This window comes from Homo sapiens, chromosome 1 (assembly GCF_000001405.40).
Source record: "Homo sapiens chromosome 1, GRCh38.p14 Primary Assembly".
Classification (NCBI taxonomy): Eukaryota; Metazoa; Chordata; class Mammalia; order Primates; family Hominidae; genus Homo; species Homo sapiens.
Genome location: NC_000001.11, coordinates 186,336,407 through 186,348,798, shown reverse-complemented (window position 1 = coordinate 186,348,798; position 12,392 = coordinate 186,336,407). Strand labels below are relative to the sequence as shown.

Sequence of the window (12,392 nt, the reverse complement as noted above, 5' to 3'; positions counted from 1 at the left end):
AGAGTAAATAATGTTTAATTATTGGGAGAACACACCCCCAATCTTTCAGTGTAGGTTCTTTCTATTTTCTATGAGTGTCGGCTGGCTGAGAAATAGACAGTACAAAGAGAGGAATTTTACAGCTGGGCTGCCAGGGGTGACATCACATATCTAGGACCGTGATGCTGGCCTGAGTCTCAGACCAGCAAGTTTTTATTAAGGGTTTTAAAAGGGGAGGTAGTGTAAGAACAGAGAGTAGGTGCAAAGATCACATGCTTCAAAGAGCAAAAGCAGAACCACTGATAAGGATCTAACAAAGATCACAGGGCAAAGGGCAAAAGCAGAACCACTGATAAGGGTCTGTGTTCAGCCCTGCATGTATTGTCTTGATAAACATCTTAAACAACAGAAAACAGGGTTCCAGAGCAGAGAACCGGTCTGACCACAAATTTACCAGGGCTGAGTTTTCCCAACCCTAGTAAGCCTGAGGGTTCTGCAGGAGACCAGGGCTTATCTCAGTCCTTATCTCAACTGCACAAGACAGACATTCCCAGAGCGGCTGTTCATAGACCTCCCCCCAGGGACGCATTCTTTTCCCAGGGTATTAATATTCCTTGCTAGGAAAAGAATTTAGCGATATCTCTCCTACTTGCACGTCCGTTTATAGGCCCTCTGCAACAAGAAAAATATGGCTGTTTTTGCCCAACCCCACAAACAGTCAGACCTTATGGTTGTCTTCCCTTGTTCCATAAAAATTGCTATTATTCTGTTCTTTTTCAAGGTGCACTGATTTCATATTGTTCAAATACACATGTTTTACAACCAATTTGTACAGTTAGCAGTTATCACAGTGGTCTTGAGGTGACATACATCCTCAACTTAGGAAGATAATAGGATTAACAGATTAAAGACAGGCATAAGAAATTATAAAAGTATTATTTGAGAACTGATAAATGTCCATATTAAGATGAAATCGTCACAATTTATGTTCCTCTGCCACGGCTCCAGCTGCTCCCTCCATTCGGGGTCCCTGACTTCCCGTAACATTTAATAAATTAAGAATTCTGTCATTTCTTCATATAGCTAACTCAGTTTAGTGGAAATATTTGATTGTTCTCTTTTGAATATCCTTTTCTTAATTTTTGTAACAGATTTAAAATATTAATATTTGAATTTTTTTGTTTTTGAGGAAGTAACATAACAAAGTACCTGCTTTTATTTTGGTATTCGGCATGGATTGAAATATACTTTCTAAATATATCTGTATTTGAACCTTAATGCTAATTTCATAAGCTCTTTATAACAGTCATCTCTAATACTATTGAAAATGTTAATTTTAACAGAGCTGTTATGTCTTTTAGGTCAGCCTAGCAACAAAGAAGATGTGGATGATCTTGTGAGTCAGCTAAGACAGACAGAAGAGCAGGTGAATGACTTAAAGGAGAGACTCAAAACAAGTACGAGCAATGTGGAACAATATCAAGCAATGGTTACTAGTTTAGAAGAATCCCTGAACAAGGAAAAACAGGTATGTATAATTCTGAATTCAGAATTCAATCTCAACACATTTGTTAACTTTGTTTTTAGTAACTAGAGGACTGCTTTTTTAAGGCACTCGTATGAATTAGACCAGGGTCATTGCCTTTAACCTTGTGAAAGTACTTGAGTCTCATAAGCCAGATAAAACAAAAACACACAAAATTCATGAAGCAAGGAGGTTATCCTTGCTGTAGGAATGGTCCAGATAAAATGTTGAGGAGACTGAGAGGTAGGGATTGTTATTTGTCTACTGGGTATGCATGCCTTCACAAGAGAGATGGCATTTGTGCAGGCAAAGCCTTGAATGAAGGTATCTGTATAGGAAATAGAGTAGAAAGGTATTTTACGTGATGGGAACCCTCAGCCATGGTAGAAAGTCTTCAGAAGATGACAATTTGTAAAGTGAGTAGTGAGGGGATACAGTTATAAATGTAGTTGATAATCAAATGTGAAAGGTTTTGAATATCATGTTAAATTATATTCTGTAGGTTTATTAAGAGCCATTGATTTTTTTAACATGTCATAATCAGATTTTTTTTCTTTTTTCTGGTTAGAAAATTAATGTGGTAGATTGGAAGATACCGTGTTCATTTTGAAGGCTGTAGCAATAGTCTAGGGCTTCAATTTTAAAAGATCCTTTTGTGGTTGACATCATTGTAAATAAATCAAAATGTGTGAGGAAAATACCTTTCGATTGTAGAATAGATGGATTTGGCAAGTGGATATGAGGATTGAGGGAGAAATGAGAGATTGGAAATTTCATTTCAAAAGAGAAAAATGGCCAGTAGCCAAGATGAATGGTAAATGCTTGTAGATTTATATGGTGTTTTTGCTTGTTGTTGAATCTTCTAATCACCTTTGATGGATTCTTTTTTTAATATACAACAAACATTAATTTTATTACTTCTCAAATTAGTTTTGATTTGGAGAAAATAATTGTATGACTTTAAATGTGTGTAATTTTTATATCCTACTGTTTGTAATATGGTAAAGGTGACAGAAGAAGTGCGTAAGAATATTGAAGTTCGTTTAAAAGAGTCAGCTGAATTTCAGACACAGTTGGAAAAGAAGTTGATGGAAGTAGAGAAGGAAAAACAAGAACTTCAGGATGATAAAAGAAGAGCCATAGAGAGCATGGAACAACAGGTAAATAGGTTAACCGTATTAATTTTTTTTTTAACTTGTAAGGATTTGAATTCTTTCAACTAAGTCATTAGTTGCCATTTAGTTCATCTCAACAGAAATTTATTGAACACATAGGCAAAATTTTAGTTTTATGTTTTACTCTTTTCTGTACCTCTATATACATTTCCCGTTGAAATTTTTAGACTACTTTACAGAAATAGGTATCACTGGTTCTTTTTAAAAGCCCCTACCTGAGACTTGACTTATGCAAATGTTAGGGAATGGATATGGAGTTGCAAAACTGATTATATCAGGGTGTAAACATTTTAAATTTAGCAGCAGTTTTTTGGGCTAATTGGATCTTAAAAAATGAGACTTCAATTTAGTAACACTACAATACAGTATTTTCCAAGTAAGTTTGCAATTAATTTTGGTTTTAATCTTGTTCTTTCTGCTTAGTTATCTGAATTGAAGAAAACACTTTCTAGTGTTCAGAATGAAGTACAAGAAGCTCTTCAGAGAGCAAGCACAGCTTTAAGTAATGAGCAGCAAGCCAGACGTGACTGTCAGGAACAAGTAAGTATAGCCAATTATTGAGAAATGAGCTTCGATCCTAGAGAATGATTCTTGAAGTATATTTATGCATTATAAGAACTGGTGGACCTTACAAAAATTCAAGATAATTTCCACTTTTGTGGAACTTAGACAAGACAAATTGAAAAGTATAGATGGAAGGCTAAAAATAAATACATAGGGCAATATTCATTAACAAAGCAATCTTGACAATGGGAAAATAAAAACAGGACTAGGAGACTAAAATTTGTACTTGGCTCTCATTTGCAAAAATTATTTTACTATTGTCCTTCACTAGATCTGATTATAAAATTACAGATACAGTTGATTAGAGGCAACCTTTGCTAACAAAACAAGAACCTCTTGATAACATTGTTAATGCATTACCAAGTTTGCGCAGATATCTATATACTATTTATAAAATGTTAAAAAAGTATCATTATTTTGAGTGTATGTATGTATGTGCACACAGTATTGAAGCTTTTTATAATTTTTTTATGAACAGGAAATGATAAAACAATTCAGGATTCAGAGTTACTAAAATGGTAGGATGGGATAGCAGTACATTTGAGCATATTGGTAATGTTCTTATTTTAAGTTGGGTGTCATGTTAATAGCTATTCATTTGCTTACTATTCTTTATTGCCTATATATATGTGACGTGTATATTGCTATTTTAAAATGTAATACAGGGAAGAAATGCTTCAAAGTAAATTTCATTAAAATCAATGGATCTATAATTTAGTACTTAATATAGCTGAGTTATGTTTAGCTTCTTATATCAAAAAGTTTGTCCAAATTGCTGGTCTTCTAAGCTTCATTTCTGACAGTTTTATAATATTAAGTAACTAAAGCATTAACTTTTAATTATTTTCTTATTTTGCTACATTTAGATTGTCTTTACTTTTATTATTTAAAAAGTCCAATGTGTATCTTTGGACAAGTGCTAACTAGTTTTATGGATTTTTAATCTTTGGTATCAATTGGGTAATAATTTCTTATAGGCTAAAATAGCTGTGGAAGCTCAGAATAAGTATGAGAGAGAATTGATGCTGCATGCTGCTGATGTTGAAGCTCTACAAGCTGCGAAGGAGCAGGTTTCAAAAATGGCATCAGTCCGTCAGCATTTGGAAGAAACAACACAGAAAGCAGAATCACAGTTGTTGGAGTGTAAAGCATCTTGGGAGGAAAGAGAGAGAATGTTAAAGGTATTATTGTAAATCTGAATAGAATGTTCTGTTGAATTGAAAGAGTTGTTTTTTTCTTTATTTTATAATGTTTTGAGATGGAGCCTCGCTCTGTCACCCATGCTGGAGTGCAATGGCGTGATATTGGGGTCACTGCAATCTCCACCTGCTGGGTTCAAGCAATTCTCCTGCCTCAGCCTCCCAAGTAGTCGGGATTACAGGCGTTAGCCACCGCGCCTGGCCAAGTTGTTTTTTTTAAATATGCATTGGAAAATCTGTTATTCTGATAGACTCTTGGCTTGCAGGATGAAGTTTCCAAATGTGTATGTCGCTGTGAAGATCTGGAGAAACAAAACAGATTACTTCATGATCAGATCGAAAAATTAAGTGACAAGGTCGTTGCCTCTGTGAAGGAAGGTGTACAAGGTCCACTGAATGTATCTCTCAGTGAAGAAGGAAAATCTCAAGAACAAATTTTGGAAATTCTCAGGTAAATCATGTTCTTACTGCTTCATTTCTGTGGTATAACAACTATGAAATGAAACTACAAATATATAAATTAGAGAAGGAGATTATACACGATTTTGATATAAAGTTCATTCTTTTATTTGTCAAAGAACTCATAACTTTTAACATTTACACATATTAAACAAGTGACTTTAAAGTTGAATCTGATAGTAAGAACTAGAGCAGTTTTCTCTTGAAAAACTAAATGCCTTTCAGATCATTTTAGAGATAAACATTCTAAAGCCAGTGTCTATAAAAGAAAATAGAAATACATCTCCCATTATTATTTATTATTAATGAAAACGTGTAATAGTTATTAAAGTCAATGATTTTTGTCATCTTACCAAATTACCTACGTTTTGTAATGTTGGCTTTTTAAAATTCACATAAAATTTTAATATCTGTATTTTTGTAGATTTATACGACGAGAAAAAGAAATTGCTGAAACTAGGTTTGAGGTGGCTCAGGTTGAGAGTCTGCGTTATCGACAAAGGGTTGAACTTTTAGAAAGAGAGCTGCAGGAACTGCAAGATAGTCTAAATGCTGAAAGGGAGAAAGTCCAGGTAGGTATACTAAGCTTTAAGAAAGCACTTGTTAAATCAAAAGAGAAGCACTCATTTATATCTCTACCATTTAACGTAATGTAAAATTTAACTTGAAGTAAGCATTCTTCTAAACTTGTAAATTCATTAAGCATTTGTTAAACACTAATATAGTATAGTGCTTAAAAGTAAAGGCTCTGTAACCAAACTGCCTGGTTTCAGATTCTAGCTTCATACCATTAGCTGTGGCCTTGGGTACATTGTTTAACTTCCCTGCTCTTAGTTTCTTCATCTGTAATATTTGGATAATAATGAGGTTTAATTGAGTTTGTGCACATGAAGCATTTAGAAGCATGTCTGGTATGTAGTGGGTGCTTAATAAATTCCAGCTATCTTAATTTATTATAGTTATGGATTATACGTGTGGATAGTCATTCTAGGATAAAGTGATTTAAACTGCTACAGAATATCTTTCTCACCCAAGGAGCAAAAAGTAGTAAAAACTAACAACCAAAGGAAAAGAAGCTGTGGTAGTGAAATGGATGATAATAAGACAAGCTTGACTCCTTACCCCACACTACCACCCAAAGCTTATTGTTGAGTTACTTCATTCTTAGGAGCTACAGTAATATACCCCCACCTCTAGAAGGAAGGAAATTAAGATCTTAAAACATTTATCTTCTTTTAACTGATGAGTAGTCAAAATGACTGTTAAGAAGAAACCATTGGACAGGGAAAAGTAAATAATGAATTTTATGGGATTTATGTGTTCAGCAAAAGCTAAAGGTTCCAGAATTATATCCTGTTTAATTCAAATGTATCTCACCATGGAAATAATAGAGCCTCCAGTTCAATAGAGTTAATACTTGGAGGAAAAGGGACAGAATCAGAGTCTCTAACAAAGACTGCATATTGTTTCAGTCTTTTCCGCTTCATTTTTTATTCCTTTGGGCTATAGAAAGTAAATACTAGAAAATGCCCGCCTACGAATGAGTTCATAGGGGGAAACCAACCTTAAATACAGGAAGAAGAGAGTCAACAAGTAACATAGATTATATAAAAAATAATATAATGGGCCGGGCATGGTGGCTCATGCCTGTAATCCCAGCACTTTGGGAGGCCGAGGCGGGTGGATCACGAGGTTAGGAGATTGAGACCATCCTGGCTAACACGGTGAAACCCCGTCTCTACTAAAAATACAAAAAAATTAGCTGGGCATGGTGGTGGCAGGCACCTGTAGTCCCAGCTACTCGGGAGGCTGAGGCAGGAGAACGGCGTAAATCCGGGAGGCGGAGCTTGCAGTGAGCCGAGATCACACCACTGGACTCCAGTCTGGGCGACAGAGCGAGACTCCGTCTCAAAAAAAAAAAAAAATTATAATAGTAATGTAATGTCTGTCTAAGCATGAACAGTGTAGCATGGCAACCATGAAATATGCTATAGCTTTAAAAACAGTGGGGGAAGAAAGTAATACCAAGTGCAGAAGATGGATAATTATAACCTATGAGAAGGAAAAAATTCTTCACAGATAATTCAGTAAAATTTCTCATGGCCAAAGTGATGAAACAATGGATCAAAATGAGAGATTTCTGAACAAGAGGGAATAAACTGAGGATTAGAATAACATTTTAGAACTAATAAATTTAGTGCAGCAAGGAAAAAAAGATACAGAAAGGTAAATAGAGATTTGGATTAATGTTTTTACCTAATGTTAATACTTTGTTGGTGGGATTTGTAGCATCTTTTCACTTTTGTCTTTGTAATTCTTGTATTTGTTTAAAGTCTGCAGTTCGCATGCCTCACAGAAAAGTAAACGTGAACTTTCAAAAATTTTAGTTCTAAAAGTTGAAACTTAAATCCTCTTTATTTTGTCATAGGGAGGATTTGAGCTCATAGGAACAGGTAGACTTTCAACTATTGTTAGATGTTGGTATGTATATTTATTTGAAATGTTTAGGTAACTGCAAAAACAATGGCTCAGCATGAAGAACTGATGAAGAAAACTGAAACAATGAATGTAGTTATGGAGACCAATAAAATGCTAAGAGAAGAGAAGGAGAGACTAGAACAGGATCTACAGCAAATGCAAGCAAAGGTTTGTTGCTTAGTTATCAAGAGTGGAAGCATGTTGTTTTTAATAATAAATGAATTTTTACATTTGTTGTTAAATATTGGCATGATTTTCAGGTGAGGAAACTGGAGTTAGATATTTTACCCTTACAAGAAGCAAATGCTGAGCTGAGTGAGAAAAGCGGTATGTTGCAGGCAGAGAAGAAGCTCTTAGAAGAGGATGTCAAACGTTGGAAAGCACGTAACCAGGTAAATGCAGTTAAAACTCTTCCAAAACATGGAAACACGTGTTTTTAATAATAGGGGAAACTTAGGGGAATAAAAATATTTGAGGAACTAGTGAAAATTACTGTGTTTATTAGTGAAAGTCTATTATGTTATTAATACATGTAAATACGTGACAGATGTTAAACTTATAACCCAATTTATAAAAAATTTTGGTTATATTATATATATTTCTAAAAAGCAGTTATTTTCCATAATTTTAAAGTTTTAGCCTTTCATTTTATCTCTAAAATATTTTTATACATGAAAATAGAAATCTGAGGCCAGACACGGTGGCTCATGCCTGTAATCCCAGCACTTTCGGAAGCCAAGATGGGAGGATTGCTTGAGCCCAGAAGTTTGAGACCAGCCTGGGCAATGTAGTGAGACTCCAACTCTACAAAAAATTAAAAATTAGCTGGGCGTGGTGGTACATGCCTGTAGTCCCATCTACTTGGGAGGCTGAGGTCAGAGGATTACTTGAGCCCAGGAGGTCGAAGCTGCAGTGAGTTGTGATCATGCCACTGCATGCTAGCCTGGGTGAGAGAGGGAGACCCTGTCTCAAAAAAAAAAAGCAAAATAGGAATCTGTATAATTTATTGAATTTATTAAAGCACTTTAAAAAGACTTGTTCACTGGAACGTTTTTAGGGAGATGAAACCATGTAACATACTGTGGTTCGAAACTCCAGCCCTTTATTCAAACAAAAGGTTAGAAATCTGCCTTGCATGTATTATTTATATGACTTGGGAGAGTTTCTTAACCTCTTGGAGCTTTAGTTTTCCCTTATCACCTTTCGTGTGATAAAAATTTAACAAATGTGAAGCACATTACCTGGCATCTACAGAAGGTTTGTGTGTTTAACTTGTAATGCATTGTCTATATTTTTTTTCTTGTAAATGTCACTTCAATGAAATTAGGTACTTAATATTGAAAGTTTTGATTCTTCAGATCCCTTTATTTGGCTTCATTGTAACTAATATGAAATGTTTATTCACAAATATGAAAAAATAATGAACATTTAATGACATTTTATTTTTTTTTCCTCTTGTATTGTGGGTAGACTTCTTAGCCAAACAAGCCAAAGCTTAGTTTGATCTTAGTATCTTGTAGTTCCATGCTTGATTACTTTACATGCAGGACACCTAATATAAACATAATCAGATATTCTGCCATTTTATTATAGCACATTTGTTTCATAAAACCTAAAAAAATCAAGTATGCATTTTTGTTATTCTAGCATCTAGTAAGTCAACAGAAAGATCCAGATACAGAAGAATATCGGAAGCTCCTTTCTGAAAAGGAAGTTCATACTAAGCGTATTCAACAATTGACAGAAGAAATTGGTAGACTTAAAGCTGAAATTGCAAGGTATATGGAAAGAAGCCTTAAATCATATATAATATAAAAGAAGTTTATTTTACTTATTTACATGACTCCCCAAGTGCCTGCCTCCTGGTTTTAGAAAGAATGGAAAGTGCTAGAGCACCTATATCTGACTTCCATCTACTTTGTAGAGTCAAGCAGTGATTTAATATTATGCCTTTGTATATAAAATATATATGAGACTATCCTCATAATTATTTCTCTATATTTTATTTTTTAAAGAGCTACTCAGAAGTCTAAAGCTAAATTTACAGCTATCAAAAACTTACAAGGAGGTTTTTTTTTTCTTTTGGTTAGCTTATATTTGTGACTCTATAAGGGAAGTGGGTTTTATTACTTTGGCTTTTGTGTTCCTTTTTGTGGAGAACAGTGTTTCCCTCTGTTGCCCAGGCTGGTCTCAAACTCCTGGGCTCAAGCTGTCCTCCCACTTCTGCCTCCCTAAGTGCTGGGATTACAGGCATGAGCCATCATGCCTGGCCAAGGGAAGCTTGTAAGTCTAATTTTTTCTCACATGAACTAATAGCAAAGTATTGCCCCTTTAAAATTAAGAAATTAAACATTAAAATTAATGTTTCTGGTTTACCTTTTGTAAGCTTTAGTGTAATTTGTCCATATCATGGTCCCATTTATATATTGCTTTACAACTTACAAATTTTTGTGATATATATACGTACATTCTCTTTATAGCAATCATCTAGCATGTTAAGTAGGAGAGTTATATTTTAATCTTAAAAATGAGGAGCCTAAGATTCAAAAAGATTGACTACCTAATTCAGGCCATCTGATTTCAAGTTCAGTTCAGAATTAACCCATACTCTTAATTCAGGCCATCTGATTTCAAGTTCAGTTCAGGATATAGGACAGGGGTTGGCAAACTGTAGCCCATAGACCAAATGTGGCCCATGATTTGGTTTTGTACAGCCTATAAGCTAAGAATGATTTTTATATTTTTAAAGCATTGTTTAAGAAAAATACAGCAAAGACTTTGTGGCTTGCAAAGCATAACATTCTATCCGGCCCTTTTACAGAAAAAATTTGACAATACTCAGTGCAGTAGGAAGAGGGTAGGTTTTGCTCTTAAAGCAAGTCTGAATTAAAATCTGGGTACCATCACTTGATTTTAGTTTGTAAAATTGCGCATGTTACTTGACCATTGGTAGCTCTGTTTTTCTCATCTCTAAAATGTGCATGTAAACCTATGTAATAAGATCTTGCCGAAGGGCTGTAAATTCGTAAGGTCTTACCTTTGAAGTATATGGGTATTTTTTAGGATTTTCAAAAAAAAAAGTTATTAAAGCAGTATAACATAAAGTTACATTGGACTTCAAACTTTGAAAAATGTCTCATATATTTAATCTTTCTTCTTTCCTCCATTTTTTAAAGATCAAATGCATCTTTGACTAACAACCAGAACTTAATTCAGAGTCTGAAGGAAGATCTAAATAAAGTAAGAACTGAAAAGGAAACCATCCAGAAGGACTTAGATGCCAAAATAATTGATATCCAAGAAAAAGTCAAAACTATTACTCAAGTTAAGAAAATTGGACGTAGGTACAAGACTCAATATGAAGAACTTAAAGCACAACAGGATAAGGTATTTTGAAGAAACTTATCTTACAAAAAAAAACTAGGATGAATGTTATGAAATCTTATTTCTTTGTAATTTTGAATATTACTAGCTTTTAGATACCGAAATCGTGTAAGCATATATGATATCTTTATTTAAGATTAGTTCTTTAATATGTCTGAAAATGCATTATAAACTCACAAATTTTGGTAAATACTAGATAGTTCAGTCTTCACCTTTCAAATACTCTCCATTTTCAAAGCTATGTTCTTATAACTCATTGCTAATTAGAATTGTGTATATTAAAAAATGATGACTAATCTGGTTTTGTATAGTTTTAAATAAATTGTTTATGTTAACCACCTATCAAAAAAATTCAGAAATCTTTGTTATATTTATATTTTGAATCTAAATATTGTTTTTAATTCCTGAAGGTAAGGAATTTGTATGTTGAGAATTATGTATTTATTTCATGTTGGATTAGAAAATAAATATAAAGAAAAAAAATTCACAATTAATACCCCTTTGTTTTAGCCACTATTAGTACATTAGTATCCCTTTTCATACATGTAAGCGACGTTTTTCCAAAGAAATAATATTATATGCTTATATTCTTTTGTATACTTTTTTCACTTGATTCATTATCATGAAAATACAGTTAAGTGTTGAAAATTCAACTATAATGCATCATTTTGATTAGCTGTTTAGTATTCAGTTATGTGGAAAACCATAACTAGTTCCCCATTTTTGGAGATTACAGTTGTTTCATAGAAAATTCTGTTTTGAATACCTTCAGGGATAAAATTTCTTTGCAAAGCTGTGATTATTTTCTTAGACAAACTTGCAGAAATGGAATTACTGAATATAAATATGTGAGTGTATTATTACTGTTTGTTGTCTTAGGTTATGGAGACATCGGCTCAGTCCTCTGGAGACCATCAGGAGCAGCATGTTTCAGTCCAGGAAATGCAGGAACTCAAAGAAACGCTCAACCAAGCTGAAACAAAATCAAAATCACTTGAAAGTCAAGTAGAGAATCTGCAGAAGGTATGAGTGTGAGAACAGTCTGTTCCTAATTCTTTCCTGTTATACACCTAAAGAAATATGTGTTAACTACTGACACTTTGTCTTACCATGTGGGAATGGATACATTTTATTCTTTTTACTTTGAATGGCTCATGTATGTAAGTAGTACCCAATCATCTTCAAGTGTGCATTTAGTTGGTCTGACCACCATTTTTATACTTATACTTCCATTTAATCTTTTAAAAAGCAAATTAATAAGTTATACTTTAAGTTGCTACCACATACAGTTTATATTGAAATGATTGAATTCCATGGTGAATACTTTGTTTTCCTTTAAAGACATTATCTGAAAAAGAGACAGAAGCAAGAAATCTCCAGGAACAGACTGTGCAACTTCAGTCTGAACTTTCACGACTTCGTCAGGATCTTCAAGATAGAACCACACAGGAGGAGCAGCTCCGACAACAGATAACTGAAAAGGAAGAAAAAACCAGAAAGGCTATTGTAGCAGCAAAGTCAAAAATTGCACACTTAGCTGGTAAATATCTGTTTAAAGTTTGAACTTGGTAGTGAAAGTTGATTATGTGTTGCAGGCCTAAAACTAAATGGAATAGAAATAAAAGGTAT

At 33.9% G+C, this 12,392-nt stretch overlaps 1 protein-coding gene across 1 annotated transcript in view, besides 1 other annotated feature; it reads left to right on the top strand.

Moving 5' to 3' along the window:
• Nucleotides 1-12,392, top strand: part of TPR (translocated promoter region, nuclear basket protein) — a 63,602-nt gene that overhangs the window by 26,455 nt on the left and 24,755 nt on the right. The window contains exons 22-33 of the mRNA NM_003292.3: nt 1,341-1,507; nt 2,512-2,664; nt 3,103-3,219; nt 4,221-4,424; nt 4,709-4,893; nt 5,326-5,473; nt 7,410-7,547; nt 7,640-7,771; nt 9,027-9,157; nt 10,556-10,766; nt 11,643-11,786; nt 12,105-12,303. Of these exons, the coding sequence (NP_003283.2) occupies nt 1,341-1,507; nt 2,512-2,664; nt 3,103-3,219; nt 4,221-4,424; nt 4,709-4,893; nt 5,326-5,473; nt 7,410-7,547; nt 7,640-7,771; nt 9,027-9,157; nt 10,556-10,766; nt 11,643-11,786; nt 12,105-12,303 (1,929 nt within the window). The remainder of the gene's footprint in view (nt 1-1,340; nt 1,508-2,511; nt 2,665-3,102; nt 3,220-4,220; nt 4,425-4,708; nt 4,894-5,325; nt 5,474-7,409; nt 7,548-7,639; nt 7,772-9,026; nt 9,158-10,555; nt 10,767-11,642; nt 11,787-12,104; nt 12,304-12,392) is intronic.
• Nucleotides 4,084-5,283: an enhancer, noted in NCBI's record as "CDK7 strongly-dependent group 2 enhancer chr1:186312648-186313847 (GRCh37/hg19 assembly coordinates)". NCBI's record gives its function as "activates an origin of replication core promoter dependent on BRD2, BRD4, P300/CBP, MED14 and CDK7 cofactors, with strong dependence on CDK7, by STARR-seq in HCT116 cells {active_cell/tissue: HCT116}" and the evidence as "EXISTENCE:reporter gene assay evidence [ECO:0000049][PMID:35650434]".